Source organism: Homo sapiens, chromosome 2, assembly GCF_000001405.40.
Source record: "Homo sapiens chromosome 2, GRCh38.p14 Primary Assembly".
Classification (NCBI taxonomy): Eukaryota; Metazoa; Chordata; class Mammalia; order Primates; family Hominidae; genus Homo; species Homo sapiens.
In genome coordinates this window covers 190078258-190105498 of record NC_000002.12, presented here as the reverse complement: position 1 = coordinate 190105498, position 27241 = coordinate 190078258, and the positions used below count along the sequence as shown (strand labels likewise).

The following is a 27241-nucleotide window of genomic DNA, read 5'->3' as shown; positions in this document are numbered from 1 at the left end:
GGCTAAAAGATGTCTGGGGACAGTTTGTAAATTAGAATAAAATAAGAGGAATCCAATAAACCAGGAGTCTCAATGAGATTTTATGAGCAGGAATAGAGGGAGACCACAAATTAGGTACTTTGATTCAATAAATCAATCAGCCAGTAATTATGGTATTCATACAACTTATTACTCAAATTGAGTGAAAAAGAGTGAAAGAGACTATTAATAATTATTTGAGATATATATATCACATTTTTCTATATCCAATCTACCATCGATGGGCACCTAGGTTGATTCCATGTCTTTTCTACTATGAATAGTACTGTGATGAACATATGAGTATATGTGTCTTTTTGGTAGAACAATTTTTCTTTTCGATATATACCCAGTAATGGAATTGCTGGGTCAAACAGTACTTTTAAGTTCTTTGAGAAATCTCCGAACTGTTTTCCACAGTGGCTGAACTAATTTAGACTTCCACTAACTGTGTATAAGCACTCCCTTTTCTCTGAAGCCTCACCAGCATTTGCTGTTTGTTCATTTTTTAATAATAGCCATTCTGATTGGCATGAAATGGTATCTCATTGTAGTTTTGATTTGCATTTCTCTGATGATTAGTGATGTGGGGCATTTTTTCATGTTTGTTGGCCACTTGTTTGTCTTCTTTTGAGACGTGTCTGTTCATGTTCTTTTCTCACTTTTTAATAGGTTTTGTTTTGTTGTGTCTGAGACAGGGTCTTGCTTTGTCACCTAAGCCAGGGTGCGGTGGTGCAGGTCATGGCTCACTCAGCCTCAACCTCCCAGGTTCAAGCAATTCTCATACCTCAGCCATCTGAGTAGCTGGGACTACAGGCACACACCACCATGCCTGGTTAATTTTTGAATTTTTTGTTGAGAAGGGGTCTTGCCATGTTGCCCAGCCTGGTCTCAAACTCCTGGGCTCAGAGATCCACCCATCTTGGCCACCCAAATTTCTAGGATTACAAATGTGACACACTGTGCCTGGCCAGGGTTATTTGTTTTTTGCTTATTGAACTATTCAAATTCCTTATAGATTCTGGATATTAGACCCTTGTCTGATGCATAGTTTGTGAATATTTTCTCCCATTCTGTTGGTTGCCTGTTTACTCTGTTAATAGTTTCTTTTGCTCTATAGAAGCTCTTTGGTTTAATTACATCCTACTTGTCAATTTTTGGTTTTGTTGCAATTGCTTGGAGGACTGAGTTATAAATTCTTTCCCAAGGCCAATGTCCAGAATGGTGTTTCCTAGGTTTTCTTCTAAGATTCTTACAGTTTGAGGTCTTACATTTAAATCTTTACTCTATCTTGAGTTAATTTTTGTATATGGTGAAATGTGGGGGTATAGTTTCATTCCTCCGCATATGGCTAGCCAGCTATCCTAGCATCATTTGTTGAATAGGGAGTCCTTTCCTCATTGCTTATTTTCGTCAACTTTGTCAAAGATCAGATGGCTGTAGGTGTGAGGCTTTATTTCTGGGGTCTCTATTCTGTTCCATTGGTCTATGTGTCTGTTTTTGTACCAGTACCATGCTGTTTTGGTTACTGTGACCTTATAGTATAGTTTGAAGTCAGGTAATGTGATTCCTTTGGCTTTTTGTTTTTGTTTTTGCTTAGGATTGCTTTGGCTATTTGGGCACTTTTCTGTTGCATATGAATTTTAGAATTTTTTTCTAATTCTGTGAAAAATGACATTGGTAGTTTGATAGGAATATTGAATCTGTAGATTGCTTTCGGCAGTGTGGCCATTTTAATAGTATTTATTCTACCAATTTATGAGTATGGAATATTTTTCCATTTGTTTGTGTCATCTATGATTTCTTTCATCAGTGTTTTGCAGTTCTTCTTGTAGAGATCTTTTACCTCCTTGGTTAGATGTATTCGTAGGTATTTTATTTTTTTGTGGATATTATAAATGGACTGTGTTCTTGATTTGGCTTTCAGCCTGAACAATATTGGTGTATAGAAATGCTACTGATATTTGTACGTTGATTTTGTATCCTGAAACTTTACTGAAGTTATTTATCAGTTCCAGGAGCCTTTTGGCAGAGTCTTTGGGACTTTCTAAGTATAGAATCATATGGTCAGCAACAAGAGATAGTTTCACTTCTTCTTTTCCTATTTGGATGCTTTTGATTTTTTTCTCTTCCGATTGCTCTGGCAAGGAATTCCAATACTATGTTGAGTAGGAGTGGTGAGAGTAGGCATCCTTGTCTTGTTCCACTTCTCAAGGGGAATGCTTCCAGCTTTTGCCCATTCAGCATGATGTCGGCTGTGCATTTGTCATAGATGGCTCTTATTATCTTGAGATATGTTCCTTTCATGGGTAGTTTGCTGAGGGTTTTTTTCAGTAAAGGATGTTAGGTTTTATCCAAGGCTTTTTCTGTATCTATTGAAATAATCATAATGCTTTTGTTTTTAATTCTGTTTATGTGGTAAATCACATTTGATTTGCATATGTTGAACCAGCCTTGTATCCCAGGAATGAAGACTAGTTGATTGTGGTGAATTAACTTTTTGATGTGCTGCTGGATTTGGTCTGCTAGCATTTCGTTAAGGATTTCTGTATCTATGTTCATCAGGGATATTGGCCTGCAGTCTTCTTTTTTTGCTGTGTCTCTGCCAGGTTTTGGTTTCAGGGTGATGTTGGCTTCATACAATGAGTTAGGAAGGAGTCCTTCCTCCTTGATTTTTTGGAATAGTTTCAGTAGAATTAGTACCAGCTCTTCTTTGTACGTCTAGCAGTATTTGTCCGTGAATCTGTCTGCTCTGGTGCTTTGTTCGGTTGGTAGGTCTTTTTTTTTATTATTACTGATTCAACTATGAAACTCAGTATTGGTCTGTTCAGGGTTTCAATTTCTTTCTAATTCAATCTTGGCAGGTTGTATGTTTCCAGGAATTTATCAATTTCCTCTAGATCTTCTAGTTTGTGAGCATAGAGGAGTTCATAGTAGTCTCTGAGAATCTTTTGTATTTCTGTAGGCTCAATTGTAATGTCGCCTTTGTCATTTCTGATTGTGCTGATTTGGATCTTTCTTTTTCTTTGTTAATCTAGCAAGCAGTCTATTGATTTTGTTTATCCTTTCAAAGGATCAACTTTTGATTTCATTGATTCTTTGTGTGAATTTTTGGGTCTCAATTTCATTCAGTTCTACTCTTTTTTTTTAGTTATTCCTCTTCTTCTGCTAGCCTTGGGGTTAGTTTGTTCTTGTTTTTCTAGCTCCTCAAGGTGTATGTTAGATCATTAATTTGGGGTCTTTCTAATTTTTTGAGGTAAGTGTTTAGTGCTATGAACTTTCCTCTTAAGACTGCTTTTGCTGCATCCCAGAGATTTGGGTATACCTGTTTTCATTTATTTCAAGGTATTTTTTATTTCTGCCTTAATTTGTTTACCCAAAAGTCACTCAGGAGCAAGCTGTTTAATTTCCATGTATTAGTGTGCTTTGAGAGATCTTCTTTGTATTGATTTCTGTTTTTATTCCACTGTGATCTGAGAGTATGGTTGGTATTATTTCCATTTTTAAAAAATGTATTGAGACTTGCTTTATGGCAGAGCATGTGGTCAACCTTGGAGAATGTTTCATGTATAGATGAGAAGAATATATATATTCTGTGGTTGATGGGTGGGGGTATTTTGTCAATATCTATTAGATTAGATAGGTCAAGTTTTGAATTTAAGTCCAGAATGTATTTGTTAGTTTTCTGCCTCAATGATTTGTCTAATGCTGTTAGTGGGGTGTTCAAGTTCCCCACTATTACTGTGTGGCTGTGTAAGTCTTTTTATAGTCTTTTTATATACTAGAAGTAGTTTTTTTTTTTTCCTAAATGAATCTGGGTGCTCCAATGTTGAGTACATATATATTTAGAATAGTTAAGTCTTCTTGTTGAGCCTTTATCATTATGTAATGACCTTTGTCCTTTTTGACCTCTGAATGCCTGGTGATCTGCCTGAGCATAGAGGGGAAAGAGCCCTGCTGCTCCAGGAAGGGTGGGAGGCTCAGGCTGCTGGTCCAGGCAAATGTGTGCTCTGAATGCCTGGAGTTCTGCCTGGCGGTGGAGTGGAGAGAGCCCTGCTGCTATCCTCTCAGGGGAGCAGGATAGGGTACCCAGCAATGGCACACACAGACTGGTTCCAGGTTACCGAGCTGGTCCTGGCTGCAAGCCTTGTTGCCGAGGAGAAGCCATAACTGTAGCAGCTCTCCTCCTGCCACAGGCCTGTGACAGGGAAGAACACAATTCCAGGGCCTAGTGGTGAGGCACTTTCCACAACTCTGGCCTGTGGAGGCCCCTATCTCACTCCAGAGCAAGCACTTCAGTCTCTGGCCTGAGACAAACATGTCTGCGTGGCCACACTGCCAGGATGCCAAAGAATGGCTGACTTTGCATGTGCCTAGATTAAAAATGGCATCCTCCTCTCAACACTGGGTCTGGGAAATTGACTGCAGCTTTTCCTGATGTCTTTCCCTCATAGCATCTCCAAGCCTCTCCCCAAGTTAGCTCCAGAGCTTGGGAGGAACAAAGTTTTCTTTCTCAGCCTGGGGTGCTTGGAGCCCCAGTGGAAGGGTGAGTTACAGAGGGAGGCTCTCTGCCTCTCTCACCTACTGGGGCTTCACTCACTTTTATCAGCTGGACACCATCATGGGGCCAGTGTTCTCCTCCCTGGGATCTGGAGTATCTTTCACAATTCCAGTGGATTCTGATTTTCCTTCTTGAATTAAAGCTCACAGTTGATCTTTATGTACTATCTTGCTGTTTCCAAGTGGCTGAGACATGCTAAAACCCTCTAATCAGCTGTCTTGGAAAAAAAAATTTCTAATTGTTATTTTCTTCCCTGATGGTTTATAATCCTTCCTTCACCCCTGTGCATATTTTAAACATACTTTGTAAATATTTCTGTCAGGTTATTCTACTTTTTTAAGCCTTGGCTTCCATTTCTTTCATCTGCTGAGTCTCAAACGTAGTTATTTGTTTTATGGTATGATTTACAATGTTTGACTATGACCTACTCATTAGAAGAGAGTTCTCTGTGGAAAAGTAGCCTATAGGATACTTTTTCTTTGTCTCAACTTGCATGAAAGAACTGGATTCCTTACAGAAGGAGCAGGTCTGAAAAGCAAACCAAACCAAAACAGCAACAAAAACGAATTGGATCCCTTTTTAGCTGATTTCCTGGCTTCAAAGTCCTTCCACATAGTCAGCATGATTTCAGACTCCCCATCTTGGCATGGCACATACTGGTTTTTTTTTATTTCTTGCAGGTGATATTTTCTCATTCATCATCCTGGGATACTAATAAACCTTCTTGTTGCTTAACTGGGCTGATGGGCAGAGTTCCCTTAGTCTCCATTTCAAAGTCAGCCCAACCCTTTATGACTCCCGGATTTATCTAAATAGCTGTTTTAGCTTTAATCCTACAGTCTGAAGCCTGTAATCTCCTTTCAGGGAGACAATTAGTAGAACCAACTCCAGTGTTTAAGGCCTGTATCTGATTGCAACAATTCTATGAGCAGTTTGGGCATAAGATTCTGCTTAGCACTCTGACTTGAAGTTTCCTTTTTAATTCTAATACTAGGGGGACTTTCTTTCTTGATTTCAAACTCAGCTTCATACCTAAAGAAGTTTTAGCCATATGTTATTCTATGTTTAGAGCAGAAGAGTTAAGGATTCATTCCCATCAGCTCATGTTATATCATGGTAAGTCTGAGAAAAGTTTCAAAAAATGTATTTACTTATCAAGAAAAGTATGGAGCATCTACAATGTTTAAGCACAAGCACACCTCATTTTATTGCATTTCACTTTATCGTGCTTCACAATGACTGTGGTTTTTACAAATTGAGTTTGTGGCAACTCTGCATCAAACAAGTCTATTGGCACCATTTTTCAACAACATGCTCACTTGGTGTCTCTGTCGCATTTTGGTGATTCTTGCAATTGATTTCAAATTTTATTATTATTATTATATCTGTTATGGTGATCTATGATCAGTGATTTTTTGATGTTACTTTTGTATTTGTTTTGGGGCACCTTGAACCGTGTCCATATAAGACAGTGAACTTAATAAATGTTGTATGTGTCCTGACTGCTCCACAAACTGGTCATTACCCTGTCTCTCTCCTTCTCTTCAGGCCTCCCTGATCCCTGAGATACAACAATATTGAAATTAGGCCAGTTAATAACCCTACGATGGTCTTTAAGTGGCTGAGTGAAAGGAACAGTCACATGTGACTCACTTTAAATCAAAAGCTAGAAATGATCAAGCTTAGTGAGGAAGGTATGTCAAAAGCCAAGGCAGGCTGAAAGGTAGGCCTCTTATGCCAAATAGTTAGCCAGGATGTGAATAGAACAGAAAAGCTCTTGAAAGAAATTAAACATGCTACTCCATTGAATACACAGATGACAAAAAAGCAAAACAGCCTTTTTGCCAATATGGAGAAAGTTTGAGTGGTTGAGACAGAAGATCAAACCAGCCACAACATTCCTTTAAGCTGAAGCCTAATCAAGAGCAAAACACAAACTCTTTTCAATTCTGTGAAAGCTGAGAGAGATGAGGAAGTGCCAGAAGAAAAGTTTAAAGCTAGCAGAGGCTGCTTCATGAGGTTTAAGGAAAGAAGCAGTCTCCAAAATATAAAAGTACAAGGGGAATCAGCAAGTGCTGATATGGAAGCTGCAGTAAGTTAGTTAGCCAGAAGATCTAGCCAACATCATTGATGAAGGTGGCTACACTAAACAACAGATTTTCAATGTAGATGAGACAGCCTTATATTGGAAGATAACATCTAGGACTTTCATAGCTAGAGAGGAGAAGTCGATGCCTGGCTTCAAAGCTTCAAAGGATAGGCTGACTCTCTTGTTCTAAGGGCTAATGCAGCTGATGACTTTAAGTTGAAGCCAATGCTCATTTGACATTCTGAAAATCCTAGGGCCCTTAAGAATTATGCTAGATCTACTCTGCTCGTGCTCTAGAAATGAAAGAACAAAGCCTGGATGATGGCATCTCTGTTTACTGACTATTTTAAGTCCACTGTTGAGACCTACTTCTCAGAAAAAAAAAAATATTTCTTTCAAAATATTACTGCTCATTGACAATGCACCATTGGTGCATTGCTCTTCGGTGACCAGAGCATTGGTGTACATCTTCACATATACATGGAGCTTAATGAAGATGTACAAGAAGCTTAATGTTGTTTTCATGCTTGTGAACACATCCATTCTGTAGCCCATGGATCAAGCAGGAATTTTGGCTTTCAAGTCTACTATTTAAGAAATATATTTTATAAGGCTATAGTTGCCATAGACGGTGATTCCTCTGATAAATCTGGGCAAAGTAAACTGAAAATGTTGTAGAAAGAATTCACCATTCGAGATGCCATTAAGAATTATAATTCATGGGAGGAGATCAAACTCTCAACATTCACAGGAGTTTGGAAGAGGTTGATTCAAACCTTCATGAATGACTTTGGGGGGTTTAAGACTTCAGTGAAGAAAGTAACTGCAGATGTGATGGAAATAGCAAGAGAACTACAACCTGATGATATGCAATCTCATGAGAAAACCTGAACAGATGAGGACTTACTGCTGCTTCTTTCTTTTTTTCTTTTTCTTTTCTTTTCTTTTCTTTTTTTTTTTTTTTTTTTTTTGGTAGAAACCAGCTCTCACTGTGTTGCTCAGGCTGGTCCTAATTCCTGGGCTCAAGTGATCCTCTCACCTTGGCCTCCCAAAGTGCTGGGATTACAGGCATGAGCCACCACACTTAGTGAGGACTTGCCCCTTATGAATGAACAAAGAAACTGGTTTCTTGAGATAGAACCTACTCCTGATGAAGATGCTGTGAACATTGTTGAAATAAAAGAAAGAATTTAGAACATTCCGTAAACTTAATTGACAAAGTTGCAGCAGAGTTTGAGAGGATTGACTCCAATTTTGAAAGAAGTTCTAAGGGTAAAATGAAGGAAGTTTGATGGGTAAAATGCTATCAAACAGCACTGCATGCTACAGAGAAATCTTTTGTGAAAGGAAAAGTCAATCTATGTGGCAAACTTCATTGTTTTCTCATTTTAAGAAACTGCCACAGGTACTCCAGCCATCAGCAACTACCACCCTGATCAGTCAGCTGCCATCAATATCTAGGCAAGACCATCCACCAGCAAACTAATGCAGGAACAGAAAAACAAACACTGTATGTTCTCACTGATAAGTGGGAGCTCAGTGATGAGAACATATAGACACATGGCGGGAAACAACACACATTGGGGCCTGTTGGGGTAGGGGTTAGGGGGAGGGAGAGCCTCAGGAAGAATAACTAATGGATGCTGGGCTTAATACCTAGGTGATGGGTTGATCTATGCAGCAAACCACCATGGCACACATTTACCTATGTAACAACCCTGCACATTCTGCACATGTACACCTGAACTTAAAATTTGAAAAAAAAATTTTGAGACTTGGAAATTTGAGAAGGGAATTGCTCTGGTTTGAATGTTTGTGTCTCTCGCCAAAATGCACATTAAAACTTAATCCCAGTGTAACAGTATCAAGAGGTGGGGCCTTTAGGAAGTGACTGAACCACAAGGGCTCTGCCCTCATGGATGGGATCCGAGGGAGAGTTGGGCTGTCTCTCGCCTTTCTGTCTTCCACCATGTGAGGATGCCATGAGAAGATGACATAGATGGAACAGGCCCTCACTAGATATTATACACAGCCACAGCAGAGTTTGAGAGGACTGACTCCTACTGGTGCCTTGATCTTGGATTTCCCAGCCTCCAGAACTGTGAGAAAATACATTGTTTAAAAATAAATGATCTAATCTGTGATATTTTGTAATAGTAGCATACATGGACTAAAACATCACTTATCAGGGAAGAAGAAAGGGAAGCAATATGAGAGCAGAGTCAATGATAGCATGAATATTAGTTAACAGCAGCAAAAAAAGCCCAGCACCATGCTCTCCAGGCCAACACACAGACAGGCAGCAAACTCCCTGAAATAGGGCTATATGACCTAGGCTTCATACCTGCTAAAGGTGCAGGGAGACAGCAAGACCCCTAAAAAGAAGGGCTGTGTGTTACGTTAGTCAGAAGGCATCTGAATTCATCTCATGAAGAGTTCATTCTATTTTGGCCAAAAGCATTTTGTCCATTTTATTCTAGTGCTATACACATAATAATCATTTCTTTTACTGTGGTAACTTTGTAATGTACCAACATGGCTAGCCTGAACTAAATTCTCAAGTTTCCCTTTCCTGTATGTTTCTCTTGTTAGGTTGGGCCACAGGAGACTTTCGTGGGAGACATGGAGGGCAGACATGAAGTGGCAGCCATTTTGCAGCCCAACCATGTTGTCACTTATCTAGGAAGTATTAGAGGCCGTGGACACTACCAAAACTGCCTCACCTTTTCCTAGATACTCCTTCAGCTTCTTTGACTCCTGAGACCAGGATGGGTGTTTAGCTCCATGAAGAAAAGCCCAGCTTCTATAGGCCACCCACACCACCGAGGTCTAAGACAAGAACTGATGTGGTTTCAGTCTGTCCTGTGGGCTCCACCTTATTTATGCTTGTGGGGTCCAGCTTGTTCTTGCTCCCCCTTTCTTTACATCTATCTTTCCTTCTCACCTACCTGTCTTGTAGACTTACAAGTTCCATCATCAGATGTGAAGACAGCAGCCTTACAGAGACTCCCCAGTTACATAAAGTCAAATTATTGTGATAAATTCCTTTGTGTATATCATATATAATACACTATAAGACAATATAGAAATGTATACATCCACTCTTCTTCTCTGATTGAATCCTGAGTTCCCACCATATATGTTTCTGATTGTGTCAGTCCATTTGGGCTGCTATAACGAAGTACTATAGATTGGGTAGCTGATAAACAACAGAAATTTATTTCTCACAGTTATGGAGCCTGGAAGTCCAAAACACAGTGCTAAGATGGTCAGGTTCTGGTGAGGGTCCTCTTCCAGGCTGCAGACTGCTGTCTTCTCATTGTGTTCACACATGGTAGAAAGAAATAAGACAGCTCTCTGGAGTGTCCATCATAATGGCGCTAATCCTCCTCGTGAGGTCACTCTCAGGACCTAATCACCTCCCAAAAGTCCCACCTTCAAATACCATCACATCAGGGATTCAGATTTTGGCATCTGAATTTTGGGAGGGACATAAACATTCACTCCATTGCACTGATATTACCAAAGGTATTTTTCAATTTCTTGATTTATAGCAATTACATTTAGTGCTTTTCATGGATCATTGTCCTGGTTATTTACTTTTTTTTTGAGACAGAGTCTTGCTCTGTCGCCCAGACTAGAGTGCAGTGGTGTGATCTTGGCTCACTGTAACCTCCGCCTCCTGGTTTCAAGGATTCTCCTGTCTCAGCCTCCTGAGTAGCTGGGATTACAGGCATGGGCCACTACACCCGGCTAATTTTTGTATTTTTAGTAGAGATGGGGTTTCACCATATTGGTCAGGCTGGTCTCGAACTCCTGACCTCATGATCCGCCCATCTCGGCCTCTCAAAGTGCTGGGATTACCGGCGTGAGCCACCGCGCCCGGCCTATTTACTCTTTCAACTTATCTCTCACTTTCTTTGAATACTATTTTTCTTGAACCAGCAGAATTGTAATGATCCATATCCAGATAAAGTAATCATTTGTTTCCTACTTAAAGTTATCTATAAAATGCCTGGCCCCACCTCTCCCTTATCATCCTTACAAAAGCCTTGAAAGGATCGTTCAAAATACATGACTTGGATATAATGCTAATGAGGAACCAACAATCTATAAATTATGAATAGTGACAGAAGGCAAGGCAGTGTTTGTGATTCAGCTCAATAGACTTTGCCGGCAGGAAAACATCCTGTAATAAATCCTTTGATTGCTGAAAAACATGGTTCAAATAAAAAATCAAGTAATACTGCATATCTAAACAGAAATAGAAGAATAAACACTTGCAAACTTTGAACTCCACTCCCCTGCTGTTTTTAAGCAAAACCTAAGCTGCATGGAAAGAGTAAGGAATTTTGTAATAAATCAGGCTTGGGTTTCAATCACGGCCTTTTTTACCTCTGTGACTTTAAGCCAATGATTTAACTTTTCAGAAGCTCAGTTTTCTTATCTACAAAATGGCAGTAACAGTATCAGCCTCATAGGACTGCTGAAAAGATCAGAAATAATACACAAAACTTCTGGTACACTAAAGGCACTAGGGGAATGCTTTAAACAGCATGTTTCCCCTTTTTAAAAAAACCTTTAAAAATATTATTTCTCTGAAAATGATGTCCTAGAAAATCCCTACAAATGGAGATATACTTTCCTGTTGCTCAAGCCCACTCATCTTGCTTTCCAGCCACAAGACTCCTATTTACCAATCTTTTCCCACATAGTGGGAGGTCAAACTAAAGCAACCTAGGAGCTTACTCTGTCGCTGTGGAGAGGATAAACACTCTTGCAGGGGTGTGGGGCCTTAGAAAATGCAAGGCTCTGGTCCTTAATAAAAGAGCTGCTGCTTTCGTAACAGCACCATGTGCTTGGTCACAAGACAGATGAGGACAGAGGGTAGGCCCTTCTTGGCCCAAGTTGGAGGTGAGTGGGTGAGTAGACTGCTTTCGTCTCTGACTGCTGCTAGCCATGTTTCTACCTTCCTGATTGTGGTCAAGCTACCAAGGCAAGAAATTCCCAAAGTAAAAATATACTGACAGCTGTGTTTGGAATCTATCAACAACCTTTCAAAATTACACACGGGCAAATTTCACCTTCACATTGCAGAAGTCATATTCCCAAAAGACTGAATGAAAGCGAAGAGATCACATAAATAAAAATAATCCAAAATGAAATGAAATTATGGATGAAGAAGGGGAAATATGAGAGCAAAACATTATCCTATTAGAGGCAACAGTTTAAAATTTTACCAGGCCAAGAGTACAAATCTTTATTTCTATAATGTTAAACTAAACTCTATTTTCCTCTACTTCTGCTATAAGTCACCCAACAATGTTTATTTTCTGATTCTTGCCCTATACATTACTATTTTAGTTTAGTATTTAATTACTTGTTTTCTTTTTTTTTTGAGACAGAGTCTTGCTCTGTCGCCCAGGCTGGAGTGCAGTGGCACAATCTTGGCTCACTGTAACCTCTACCTCCCAGGTTCAAGAGATTCTCCGGCCTCAGCCTCCCAAGTAGCTGGGATTACAGGCGTCCACCACCACTCCCGGCTAATTTTTGTATTTTTTTTTTTTTTTAGTAGAGACGGGGTTTCACCATGTTGGCCAGGCTGGTCTCAAACTCCTGACCTCAGGTGATCCACCCGCCTTGGCCTCTCAAAGTGCTGGGATTATAGGCGTGAGCCACCATGCCCGGCCTTAATTACTTTTTAAACTGTAAACATTCATCTAGTGCCCTGATACTTATAGCTATACTAACTATATACTTTCTACCTATGGTTTGAAGTTTCTTCAGACGTGTGGTCCAGAAAAGCATCATCTTCATGAATATAAATTATTATATTACTAAAAAAGAAAAATTTACAACAGGGTATTTCTGGTATTTCCCTTTTCCTCTGCTTCTAGCAATCGACTCGCTGTAAGTAAAACTCTTCACAGAGTTTAGAATTAGTCAGTAGAACTCTAGTTTTAATACCTACTCCTCTCCTTTGATCTGGTATAAAATTATCCTCACAACAAGGAAATAATATTTTTCACAGATCAGACCGACAATGATTTCTTAAAAGGCTATTATTCTGGACTGGCAAGGATTTGGGGGAAACAGGAACTTTTGAATACTTCTGTTAGACTTCTAAATCACTACATCTTTCTGAATGATAATTTGGAAAATTGACTCAGATTCTTAAAAATATGTGTATTAATGTGTATGTTTTTAAATAGTACATATACATATTGTTCTGAGGTGGACAGGTCTATGCAAACCTACCCCAGAAAGTCCAAGGAAGCAGAGAGGCCAAAGAAAGAGGCTGACAAACCCAGTTTCTGAGAAAGAAACATTTGATAGGGACTTAGGAACAGAAACCATGCCTGTGTCTCAGGAGTGGCAAGACAAAACGGTGGATCCCTGTGCCCTTACCCCCGAGACCCAGGACTTATAGAACATAAGGAAAAGATATGTGTGATTCAGAAGGAATGTGTAGGACAATTGATGTATAATATCAAGGTCATTTTGACCTAAGGGCAGGATTTACAGTAAGTACATTCTCTTACACAAGGAACAATCAATAAACTGGAAATCTTAGAGGCCTTCTTGGAACTGGAGTTAATCAGCAGTCAACATGACAAATTAGCATCCAGATAATTTTGCTTTAGCCTCCACACACATATTTACAAAAAGATTTGCCATTAAGTATGTGTTTTGAATATTATTATAACAAAAATCTGAAAGAATCTAAGTGTCCTACTGTAGAATATTAATGAAATAAATTGCCATATATTAACATAACATAATACAATATAGTATAGTCATGTTTAATGATAAGTCATTTAAAAATGTGTAAAAATATTTAATTTCTGAGGAAGATATTGTAGTCAGTCAATTTGTTTATTTACTGAGTAGATAAACAAAAATATTAATATTAATTACTCCTGAATAAAGGAATTATGAGTGATTTTTAGTTTTGGCTTTGTGTTTTCTATATTTTATAAATTTTCTGTGATGAATATGTATTACTTTGTAATCATATTATTTCAAGTATTAAAAACTATTTTAGAAACCAAGAATTTTAAGCACATTTATATTTTCTGTGTTTATAATTAGAATCCTAAAATTCTGTAGTTGAAAGGGATCACAGGGATATTCTGGTACAAACTCAAGATCGAAAGTTTGGCCTCTAGAAATTTAAGACATAATTTACACAATCAATTAGGCTTTGTAATCAATAAAGTAGATTACATGGCCTCTTCAGTTCTTAAAATGGTTCTATTTGGGCTACTTGTGTGTGTGTGTGTTTAACAAAAGAGGATAAACTACTAATTTGATACAAATAAGTTCTCTTCTACTTTAAGAAACATAGGAAACAGTTCTTTACTTTCAAAAGTAGGTCACTCTTGTAGCATATTTTAGTACAGTTTGAATAAATTCCTTTCAGTTATTATCAAAGTATCCTAGTGTTAGAATTCCTGTGAGATAGCAGACTTTCTGAAATAAATTCATATGTGTCAAACTGGAACTTTCTGTAATAATATTTTTCAGTCTTTTAGAATTAAATTTAAAATGAGTTTCTGTTTCAGTCCCTGAATGTAGACATGTGCCACTGACGTGCTGACAAGTTATCTGATTTACATGGCATTAGAAAGTTTCTTTTTAAAGGCAGTATATTGTTGAACTTTATAGGCATTTCCTATTCTTAGAAATATGAAGCAAAGTGTCAACTGGTAAACAGTAAAATTCAGTTCTCAAATTGTGTGGATGGTTCTTCTATTAATGTGTTAGCAACTCTACAGTAAAAATATCAAAGTCTTTTTATAAGGCTTACACCTTTGAAACAAAGTTATTCATTTATTACAACAAAATTTATGTTATTACCTATTATGTGCCAGGTATTGTGCTAGATGCCAGGGTATGTCTGTAATAAGCTAGAGTCCATGCCCTTCAGGAGCCTACAGAAAAGAGCGGACATTAAAAATAAGCAGGCAATTAGACTACAGTGCGCTAAGTATTAGTACTGTGATAAGAAAGTACTAGTGGTAGGGGAGAAGTAGGACAGGACATTGATAGAAACCATTTGAGGGACCTGTTCAGCTCACACACTTTTCCCTGGGAGTCACCTTCTGCCTTTTATCAGAGCCTTGTCTGAACTATGTACCTCCATCTTTCACACATGATCAGGCAAGGGATACAAACCTTACACAGGCTAGGACTCAAAGACACGTGATCAGTTAGCTATGGCAGCTAACTTGGTTATATAAAATCAAGACTGAGGTGGTTGTTTGAGGCTATACATAAGTAGAAAAAAGACTGTTCTGAAGAAGTCTGGAGAGGAGACTCAATCCACTTGGGAAGAATCTGCTTTGAAGCTATCTCACTAATGTGCCTGGCGAATTGGTGCTGGCTATTGACAGGAGGCCTCAGATCTTCTCCATGGCACTGTTTGAGGCATGGCAGCTGGCTCTCAGTGAGCAATCCAAGAGACCAAGGCAGAAGCTGCAATGCCCTTTATGACCTAGTCTCAGCAGTCATACACCATCACTTTCACTGTGTTTGTCACCAGGCCATCCCCTACTTACTGTGAAAGGAGTGTATAGAAGGCTTTCTTCGCTTGCTAACAACTAGAAATAAACCCAACTACCTGCCTAGATGAGGACTTTAACACAATAATATTGGAAATGGCAGCAGCAGCAGGAGTGCTGCAATTGAAAAGGGTAATATCAGTCTCTCCCAAAGGAGCAGGCAGGTAGTTATAAGGAGAAAAAAGGGACAATGAGATTACATTTGCACACCATACACCTACAAGAACTACTCTAGGTTAAGTAGAGTAGTTTGGGGAAAGGGGCATATATACCAGGCCAAAGGACTAGAAACACTGCTCTGCATGGTGTAAGAAGTTAACTCTCCTTGACTCCTAGCACAATTGAACCAGTGTTAGGTTTTGCATAGTATATGGAATTTGTGGAGGGCATTTGGGGCAGACTGAACCCCTCTGGAGTAGTCCTAAATTGAATCATAGTCCTCAAGAGTCCTAAGACTTAGGACGTAAGACTCAAGACTTACTCTTAAAACTTAGGACTCTGGGGAGTCCTGTGGTTTTTCGGGAGTAACACTTTGCTGAATGTCTACCTTTGAGCATCAACAGTGATCCTCAAATTCTTTATGGTGTATGTACAGTCACTAAGTTTTTAGGGCAAAAACATGTAATATTGAAATTAGAACTGGCGTTGAAATCCTTACCCTGCTCTTGGATATATGAACTAGTCTATTCTGGCTTCATGTACGTAGCAAGTTAACTATGGAGGAGTAGAAGCCATTAGAAGAATTCTAGAATTTTCAAAAAGGGGTTCTAAAGGAGCTGAATACATTTTTCAGGTGTACATAGAATTTTTAAAAACCTTCAGGATAGGACTGAATTTTGTGTTTTGTTTTAATGTAATCTCATATATTTAAAGAAATATACTTACTCATCACAGTTCTCAGAGGCAAAAAATTAAACATAGCTAATCAAATAAAATATATTTTTCTGAAGGACCCCAGAGTCAAAGGAAGTAAATGATCTCCAATTTCAGCGTAAAAATAAATAAATAAATAAATGAAAAGAATCAGAGAACAAAAACAGCAACAACAAAACCTAGTTGAAATGGACATGCTGAGTACATTTGAAGATCGATTTGGATTACATTTAGGTACAAAGAGAGTCTATGTCTCAGATGGAAAAATCAAGACAAAGGGTAACTGTGATTTGCACACAATCAACTACAACATGAAAGAGCATTGGACTCAAAGCTCGATGTGGCTATAGTGACCCCTGCTGGAGCCTATCTTTTAAACTAAAAACCTAAGTCAGGGCTTCCATGAGAATAACTAAAATTTTCATAGAAAAACTGATTTTGAGAGCTGGGAGAACGCTTAGAGGACATTTAGCATAACCTCCTTACTTCATAATTGATGAAACAGGCCTTTGGCCCAGAGAGGTTAAATGACTTGCTTTAGGTCACACAGCTGGGATTACCAGAATGTAAAGATGTCTCCTCAATTCTTGGGCCTGTTTCCATCAGTGGAGTTTTCTGTTACAACTAATAAAAGTATCTATAACACACAAAATGAGATGTCCAGGAAAAATCTCTTACACTGATTTTAAAATATTCACTTGATCTAGTTAACTAAAACTCAATTTTGCCGAAGAGAGAATTTCTAATTGATATTAACATGATACTTTTTTTTTCTTTAGCCTTTATGAGTTTATACAACTTTGTATCTGACTCAAATTTATTTTTGGAATGTTAAGTAGTTCTGTCCTTCACTAGGTTACCTATGTTCCACATCTCTATTTTAATCTTTTTGAAATATTTATTTGGATATTCTTTTTACGTCCTTTTCCATTCTTTGCCTCTAAAACTTGTTGATAATGTACTAAGCAAAGGGACAAAAAGGAAACGATGGTAAAGGACCTTATACTGGGATTTTCTGGAAGGCCTGACTCTGATTCTTACCCTCTACTCAGAGCTCTGGGACCACCCACTCATGAGTGCTCTTTGCATCTTCATTTTTCTTCTACCAATCAATACTTCTCTTTCTCCACTCCTTAAATCAGAGGTCCCCAGACATATCACGATCATGGGGTTTGTGCATTCACTCTCCTCTCACTGTACCAGAAGGCATAATCCTGGTCCCTGATCATATTCTTAGGTAGTTATGGAAGCTTTGGCAAAGTCACTTTACTCCTTCCACATTTCCTTTCTGCCATCTTTAAAATAGGTATAATAATATCAGCTATACATACTTTACAGTGTTTCAGGGATGATCTCTGTAATTTTTTCCTCTCCAATTATTCAAGCAGGTAGCCAGGTTCTTTTCTACTTTTTTGTGTGTGTCCGGAATTTTTTGCATGGGGAAAACTTAAGCCATCTGAGGTTTTAAAACTCCTTATCTTTTATACAAAAGATTATGGTAGGAGCCCTGGAGAAGGAAGGGAGAAGAGGGCTTTAAGTAAAAAGAACAAGATAGAAGATTGTCCCATTCTGACTAGAAAGGTTATAGAGGTTTATTGGTTTCATGACCAATTGGGAACACTATAGAGCCTGCTCTGAGGATGCCCCTGAGCAGGGTGGAAAGACCTCAGGGTGGAAGGGTTCATGATGTATGATTCAAAACCTAACTGGAAGACAGACAGAAGTAGAGATCGACATTGATTCACAGGCAAGTGGCACTTTGGCCAAGGAGTCAGCGGGTTGGAAAACAGAATTTGAGGAATGGTTAAAGGGAGGCCTGAGGAAGAGTTTTAGGACGGGCCTCTCAGAGTAAGCAGAGTGAGAATATCTGTGTCCCAAATTAATGCTTACTAAAAGGCATCCACTGTAAAACAGATTCTCAGTAATCAAGTAAAGAGTATGGCCAATCCTGTGGATGCCAGTTAGCTGCCTCCCCTAGCTACCCTGGCGCTTGTACAATGGGCCCATGAACACTTTGGCCCTAGCAACGGGCATGTTGATCACGTGTGGGCTTAAGAACATAGGATTCTTTTCTCCCACTATGATCTGGCTAGTCTCACTGATGAGAGATTTAAGGAATCTGAGTTGAAGAAATGGTTTCATGTCTGTTGGAAAAATCTGACTTGATTAAATGGTAGAATAATCTATTGACAACTTATGTTGCCACTTGTAAGACTAGGTTGCTGTCCCACAAGTTATTGTATATTTCCCAAGCCAGCAACTAATATATAATGCTATTTCTTCCATAGCCAGAATACTTAGATCTGAAAATGAAAGTGTAAAAGTATTGGTGGTTCCATTATTATTCCTAATGACCTACTCACATAACTTTTGTTTCCAACCTCACAATGTTGTGCTCTTAGTTTCCATGGAAGGAATACTTTTTCCAGGAAACACTAGAAGGGTTCCTTTGAATGGAAGCTGAGACTGCCACATCAGCCACTTTGAGGTCTTCAAGGCACTGAACCAACAAGGAAAGAAAGGGATTACTGTATTCGCTGGGACAATTAATCCTAATCATAAAGTGGGAAAAGTGGTGGTACTACAAAACAGAGGGAAGACCATGTCTCAAAGGCAAGACATTCTCTGAGCAACTCCTTTCATATCCATATCTGAGCAATTCCTTCCATATCCATGGTAAAATTTACAAGATTAGAGCAAACCAAGCCAAGCAAGAACCACAATGGTTCAGATATTTCAGGAATGAAGGTTCAGGTCACTCTGACTGATAAATAATAACACCTAGCTAAAATGATAACTGAGCAAAGGGAGCATGGGAAGGGAAGTGGAAGAGGGAGTTACAAATACCTACTATGGCCTCATAAATTGTGTAGACTGCAACCATCGTGCATATTTTCTAATGTTTCTCTTTCCCCATCTTCCTTGAGGTCTTTGAGGATTTGAACCTAATTATGGAATAGGTCAGGGTCTGGAAGTGATAAGTAGTGAGAATTAACATTTAGGAGATTCGTCATCTTCCTGCAAATAAACCACCTCAGGTGAAATTATTACAGGTTATCAGATGGAAGAGGAGGACTGCTCCTACTAACAACTAAGACTCAGTGGAGTTTGTTAATTCAGGCAACAATTGGTGATATTTTAAGGAATGTTTTGTCATTACATTGTACAAATTATCAGTATCCTATTTTCCATTGATAGTGAGGCCATTACTGATTTCAAGTCTAATCTATGTGTATGTTAACATCCGCAATGTGCTTATACTATGTGATAGATTTCTTTGGAGGAAGGGAAACACAAGTGAAGGATTTGTAGTTGGATTCATTAGAACCTACCCAAATATTTCCATTCACAGGATCCCACTCTACTAACCTATGCCTAGAAAGGCTGCACTGTAATGCTGAAAGCTGTAGAAGCAAATTTAGGTTTGTTTTTTGGCTATTTCAGCCCCACTGGTACAAGAAACAAGACAGTCTTTTAGGTAGTTTCTAGTGCAAGCAGAACCTTTCCCATGGCCTTCGTGCTCATAATTTCCACTATAATATTTTATTGCACCAGTTACTTCATCTCTTAAGCCTTGCTGCTGAGAGGCACCTGGTTACCAGCAACAAAAGCTGATCATTTAAGAAATGTTTTGTCACTGTATGGTATGGATGATCAGTGTCCTATTTTCCATTGACAGTGAGGTCATTACCAATTTCAAATCTAATCTATGTATACATTAACATCTACAACGTGCTCATACTATGTGATAAGTTGTTCAGGGGGAAGGGGAACACAAATGAAGGAAAGAAATGGCCCATGGCCTCAAGTACGTTGTGATCTTATAATCAGTAGCTAAAAGAGTTCTGCTAAACTTCAGAGAGGAAATGGGATTCTTTCAGCTGCCTCATTCCCTCTTCACTAGATGATCAGTGAACGCTATATTTGTTAAGCTGAATTAGAGACGAGAGAAACTATTTCTTGGAGTGCTAAGTACTGATCTCGTATTTCTCACAGAAGCGGTGTTAAAAATGACAGTTAAGCTTTCACACTAATTCTTCAAGGCCTATTGAACCCAAAATGTTACTGAAATACACTGTTATTTGCATATAAAATATTGTAAATATCTGGCAAAATTATGAATAGGCTTTAATTGAATAACCAGGAAACCTAATTACCATCCAGAGATTGTTCCTATGGTAAAATATATTTCATGTCTAATCTAATATGAGATTGAAAATATCCATTTCCTTTCCCTCCCCTCAAGCACATATTCCCTACCCTGGCATCTATGGTTAAAAGGGAGTCCTCCTCTCCTGGCCACTTCCCAATAATGCCATGTGGTCTGGCAATGAAGGAATCACCCCTGACTAGGTGTAAAGAGAAGGGTGGTTTGGGAAATGGTTGGCAGCAGGGGCAGAAAGTAGAAGATGGGCTTTACAGCCAGGCTGACTAGGAAAACTAGAAAAGTTTTCCCATGGCCTTTTCAATGCACTATATGCATCTGACCCCAACAGGAGGCCACCAGAGGCAGCATTCCCTCCATCTGTCCCCAGATAAAACCCTTTTCAAGAATACCTTTTACTTCTTTCATAATCAATATTTTACAGAATGTTAAGTAACTTGTCAAAGTCCATTTAGCAAGAAAATATCAAAGCCAAGGTTGAAAGTTAGGTTATCGTACTCCCGTGTCCCTTCCTGTATGTTTTTCAGTACTTTCTGGGAAAATACAATCACCTTAAAAATAGTCGACAAGTGGGTTAGAAGAAGGGATGTCAGTTAATTAAATGACTGAATCTCAGTTGTTTAGTCTGTAGACTGTAATCTGATTAAAGGAATTTTATTGTGTTTTTTGACTACGTGAATACATTAAAGAGTTATATAATACAGCCTCAAAAAAATAGTCAATAAGGGGCATTTTCCACCAATTTATCATGATAGATAAACTATACTTCCCATCAGTGGTCTCAAACCAGCCAACACATTAAAATCACCCAGAAGCTTTAAAATTAACTGAGCTCTAGCTGGGCAAGGTGGCTCATGCCTGTAATCCCAGCACTTTGGGAGGCTGAGGTGGGTGGATCACTTGAGGTGAGGAATTCGAAACCAGCCTGGCCAACATGGTAAAACCCTGTCTCTACTAAAAGTACAAAAATTAGCCAGGCATGGTGGTGGGCGCCTGTAATCCCAGGTACGTGGGAGGCTGAGGCAGAAGAATTCCTTGAGCCCAGGAGGCAGAGGTTGCAGTGAGCAGAGACCATGCCACTGCACTCTAGCCTGGGCAACAGAGCCAGACTCTGTCTCAGAAAAAAAAAAAAAAAAAACCTGAGCTCTACTCCAGACCAATTAAATTAGACTCTCTGGGGGTAGGGCTTTGTGCAAATTTAACCATTTGACTCTAATGTATGCCCAAGGTTCAGAAGCTCTGGTATAATATATTATAAAGAAAATAGGCTTCGGAGTCTCAAACCTAGGCTTGAAGTCAAGATCCGTAACTTGCTCGCTGTGTGACTTCAACAAGCAAGGTACTTAATTGTTTTAAGAGTGAGAAAGAAAAGAAACCTTCTCTGAGGAATGTAAGCCTCCTCTAAATTATCAGGCCCAAAGAGGCATGGGAGTAAGGCAGCAGTGACATCCCACTTTCCCTGCTTGAGCTCATCACCTCTTGAAGCTTCTTGCTATGTGGACTCTAGACTGACTGTCGCTGCAAATAGCTGTAAGTTAACCTAACAATGTTGCATGATGGACACCATAACTCACGCCCTAGAGTTCAACAATGTATAGCTAATCACTAATCAATGTCATTTCTGTAAACCAATGGGAATTCCTGAAAAACAACTTTGTATCAGCCCACCGTCTTCCTTTTTTGCCTATAAAAACCTACTTTTCACAAAGGTCAAATGGAACTCTTATACAAGGTTATCAGGTCTGAGTCTTCTGGGCAGCTGTCCTCATCTTGGCTCAAGTAAACTCATTAAAATTATATTTAGTGCCTCAGCTTCTTCCTTTAGGTTGACAAGAGAGTAGATTTTTAAAATTTTATTTTGAGACAGGATCTCTGTCGCCCAGCTTGGAGAGTAGCACGATCTCGGCTCACTGCAGCCTCCACCTCCCAGGCATCGATCCTCCCACTTCAGCCTCCCAAATAGTTGGGACTACAGGTGCACACCACCACACCTGGCTAATTTTTGTATTTTTAGTAGAGACGGGGTTTTGCCATATTGCCCAGGCTTGTCTCAAACTCCTGAGCTCAAGTGATCCACCCGCCTTGGCCTCCCAAAGTGCTGGGATTACAGGGGTGTGCCACCGCACCCTGCCAAGAGAGTAGATTTTAAGTGTTTCACCATGCACAAAAAATAAATATGTGAGATAATACATATGTTAAATAGCCTGGTTTAGCCATTCCATAATGTATGCATATATCAAAACATCATGTTGTCTACCATAAATATATACAATTTTTACTTGTCAATTTAAAAAGTGTTAAGTTTTATAAGGATCAGGGAGAATGTATTTGAGCATCTCACATTACATTTGGAACAAGTAGAAACACAATAAATGGTAGCATTAATACTGGAAAACTGCTATAGTGGAGAGAAAGTGGGTTTAGAATTGGATATACCTGGCTCCAAATCCCATTTCTACCATGTTTAGTCTTTGATAAGTTAAACGTTCTGTGCCTTAGCTTCCTAATTTGTATAATGGTTAGAATAATTCCTATTTTAAAGAATTGCTATGAGAATTAAATGAAATAACATTTGTAAAACATCTAGCACATTACTTCTATTGTTTGCAATCCAGCTGTACTAGTAAAACTGCCCGTGAAAACAGTCATAGAATATTCCTTATATTTAGAAATGTTCTGTTTTCGATGTGGGCATGTATAGGTTCTATGTTTAGTGTAATAAATGTATATAACAGAATAAATTCTATTTATCCTATACTATTAACTATATCAACTGAAGAATGATGAGATTCAGAAATTTGGAAAGGAGAGCTTTATTTCACATAAAGGGTTGTAGCCTGCAGGTGGCCATCCTGACAGGCTGGGAAGCATGGCCTCTGGCCAGAAGCCAGAAACAGATACTTCAAGGGTCAGAAGAGTAAGACAGGAATTTATGCTGAATGGGGTGGCCAAATGTGCATATTCAATAAGCTATAGGAAAAGTCATGAATATTTATGAAAGGAGAAACATATGCATGCCCACATGAACTTCATGCCTCTTCATGGGATCCATGTTAGAAAAATGGCTGTCGGCATGATCCAAGGGTGGAGTTTTCAGCCCTCTGGCATCAAAAGGTAAAGTAGAGGGCACAAAAACCCTCACTGTGCATACTCCACAGACTGGCCAGAACCACTCCATACTCAGTGGTCTCTTACCAGGTAAAAAGGAGGGAAAATGTCAGGTGGATAGCTGTATCAGTGGTAGAGTCTTCAGAAAGGGCTGGTTTCTATTTAGCCCCTAGGGGAGAAAGCCCATCCCATCATGGCTGGGAACTCAGTTTTCAAAGTTTCTCTGGGGTCCCCTTGGCCGAAAGATGTGGTTCTGTTAAGTCAGTTGTGGAATGGGGGGTGCTTAGGATTTCATTTTTATTTTTACCTACTATACCATAGAATAAAGCTTCAAGATTTGGTGGCTGGATATAATGAAGAGACTTACTGAGGAGAGGGCAAGTGGAACCCACTGAGTTAGTGAGCTGGAAGGGAAATGCAGGCATCTCGCCCTTCCATCTATAGGGGAGTTTAAATTTTTCCCCCAAGGGTTTAATAATTTAAGTCTATAAAACAAACTAATAGAATAACAGAAAAAAGGCACGCAAATTGACTAACATGCTCATGTATGCACAGGAGTCATGCAAAATATGAAAAAGTCAAAAAAGGCAAGATGGTTAATGCTTAAATATTTGCCTCACTGGGGAGAGGTAAGATGCGGGTTAGGAGTAAATAATTTTCAGGGGAAAAGAATGAGCCCACAAAACAATTCTCTGGAACTAAGTTCCTCTGGGCTCTGGCGGACATGGAGTCACAGGGTATGGGAGGGAGAGGAGAGGAAAGGCATGGGTTAAAGGAGGTCTTGTAATGCAGATGAAAATATCTCAGGTAATGTCAGGGATGCCCTCAGAAAAAATAGATGGTAGCTTGTGCTTGAGTTAATCTTTCCTAGATCCAGGGAAGGAGTTGTGGCAGGGGATGGGGGGATGGGAGGATGGGGGGATGGGGGTTGGCTCAGAGAAAGCATGGCTGTTGATTTCACTGATGAACATTTTCTTTACAAATACAAATCTCCTCCACCAAAAGACAACCTTGCAGGGCCATTCCTTTCTGCAGACCCTCTCAGTATCCATCTTAAAATATGTTTTTTAAGTATATTTTGGAGTAAAATAGTTTTAGTTTCCTTTACATCTGTGTTGTTAGGAAGAGCTGTTGCCTGAACCTGATCCCCTAGTGAAGATCAAAGTGACCCAGAACACAGGGGGAAGCCAGGCTAGATTGTCATCACTGCCTTCATGAAATGGAATCTTGTACAGTCATTAGCTACTTACATCTCAGTGCTTCAATGCTGTAGTAGTAGAGGTTTGTAATCAAGATGCATTGTGTCAGCAGTGTTAAAACATCCCTGCTCCATTCTGACAACAAAATCTATAAATAGTTGATCTGAATATGGCTCACACCAGACCCTTGTATAATTCTCTATCTTCACAAGATGTGCCTGGCACATAAGGCCAAAGAACCTGGACCAATGCCTGACATATACAAAGTACTCAATAAATGTTCCTTGAATTGAACTGACCTATGTCCTTTGCCTGGAACACTTCTTTAGCTGGAACTAGATGTGAACATTTATTGGGTCTTACCAAGTGCCTGACCCTTTACTAGGCACTTTATATAGAGATCACCTCATTCACCTGGCAAACTCCTGCCCATCCTTCAAGATCCAGCTCAAATGTCACCTATTCTGTTAAACCTTGACTCCCTCCAACAAAGTCCTCTGTGCTTTTGCACTGACAGCTCTTTGCTCAATCTTCAGAAGAGCACTTACCACCTTCTATGTTAACATATCTGTTTACAAGTCTGTCTCCCCCACTGGAATATGAGGTCATCAGGGGCATTGTGTCTTTATTAATTTTTTTGTGTGAATGGTATATAGCACAAACATGATGAAATTAATTTGTAAAACAGTCTTGCGATTTTGCTAACTGTCACACTGAATATATTTATTTAAAAAACTACATCCTTCTAGACAAAAAGCCAGCTAATTTTTATATAACTGAGAAAGAAAGGGAGTTTCTATATAACCGAGGAAGAATGAATTCTATAATATCTGCACAGACCAGCTGTGAGAATCAGCACCTCACAAGAAATACGTAATATGTTGCCACTAGCACCTACCTTGGAATCAAACAGGTGTGCTCAGGATATCTATTTCACCTGGTCACCAACAGCTGGCAGGTCCAATAGGCTACAACAAGAAAGAGAAGGATGAGAAGATTTGTATCTCTCTTTCTCTCTCTCTCTCTCTCTCACACACACACACACACACACACACACACACACACCCCTCATTTTTCCCTAAAGCATTATTGCTCAAAATCTTTTTTTTTTAAGATGGAGTCTTGCTCTGTCTCCCAGGCTGGAGTGCAGTGGCCCAATCTCGGCTCACTGCAACCTCTGCCTCCTGGGTTCAAGAAATTCTCTTACCTCAGCCTCCTGAGTAGCTGGGATTACAGGTATGCATCACCACATCCAGCTAATTTTTGTATTTTTAGTAGAGACGGGCTCTCGCCATGTTGGCCAGGCAGTTCTCAAACTCTTGACTTCAGGTGATCCGCCCACCTCGGCCTCCCACAGTGCTGGGATTACAGGTGTGAGCCACTGCGCCCAGCCCAAAATCGTTAACTCAAATATAAAATGGGGAGAGAACACTCACAGAGTTTTGTGAAGATAAAATGACATAATGTATATGAAGTGCTTGAGACAGTGACAAATTCATTGCCAGCTAAAAAAGTGGTAGTTACTTATGATACTTGTGGGTTTGGTGGCCCACACTAGACCACACTTTTTTAACCTTCTAGCTTTCTGATTCCTCTCTTTCCACTAAATGGTGTGGAGCAGGAAGTTTAGTGAGAAAAATTTCTTGACTCTCAGATGTCTGACATGAGCAAGCAACTGGTTGAACTGTGGCACAATTTACTGAAATAGAGAAGATTGGGTGGGGAGGGTAGTGTTGATAAATCAAGAGTTCTGCCTTGGACATGTTAAGTTGAAAATTCCTATTAACTACCCAAAAGGGGTGTAAAATAGACTGTTGAATATGAGTCTGGAGCAGATCAGCAGAAAATTAATGTTAAAAGTCAGAGAGCTGGATGAAATATCTATGGAAAAAGCATACATATAATAAATGAAATGTTTTTTTTCATAGTTATAAAATGGATTCTAAAATTTTCCTTTCTACTTGTATTTGATATTTACCTTTCTATGTCAGTACATATAGATTTAGCTGGAGATACTATAACTTATTTAATTTCTAATAGTTGTACATATATTTTGTTCCCAACTTGAAACATTACATGCTTTACAAATATCTTTGAGAGTTTATGCAAGTTGATCAGAGGGTAAAATCCTAAAAGATAGAATTGCTGGGTCAAATGCAACGGCATATTTAAAAATTTAAAAGATAGTGCCAGATTGTCCTGCAAAATGGATAAAAAGTAAAATTTATACTCCCACCAAGAGGGAAAGAAGGGGTTATTTTCTCATGCTTATCCTGATTTTGAATGAGAAATGGTATTTCACTGATCTTTTAATTTTTGTTCTTATTTAATTATGAGTGAGGTTGAACATCTTTTCAGAGGCTTATCAGAAATATATATTTCTTTTTGCCATTTTTCCATTGGGTTTTTAACCTTCTTATTTTTAAGGGTTCTGGGCTAAAGGTAAGAAGAAAGCCATTTTTTTCTTATCATAAGTGCTTTATTTCCACCCTTCTGCTATGTTTGCATTCTAAGGGGACTTCTATTTCAGGCCACATTTAGTAACCAGGTAGTATATTTACCTTCCTGCTGTAAACAATTAGAACATAGGGTAAAATATAAGAAACAACTTTTCAGAAATTGGACACTGGCAGCATAAGACTATAATTCCTAGGAGAAGGGAAA

The 27241-nt window shown here is 39.0% G+C and overlaps 1 protein-coding gene across 3 annotated transcripts in view; it reads right to left on the bottom strand.

Annotated features, from left to right (window-relative positions):
* The window catches only part of AKAP19 (A-kinase anchoring protein 19), a 323923-nt gene that overhangs the window by 97986 nt on the left and 198696 nt on the right, over positions 1-27241 (bottom strand). For 2 of the 3 annotated variants that reach the window (XM_047446008.1, XM_047446009.1), the window contains 3 exons: positions 25476-25545; positions 14529-14602; positions 9897-9980 (listed from right to left, as the gene is read on the bottom strand). The gene's annotated coding sequence lies outside the window, so the exon portion shown is untranslated. Of the gene's footprint in view, positions 1-9896; positions 9981-14528; positions 14603-14846; positions 15117-25475; positions 25546-27241 lie in introns of those variants that run through there. The other variant, XM_011511983.2, reaches the window with a different exon arrangement.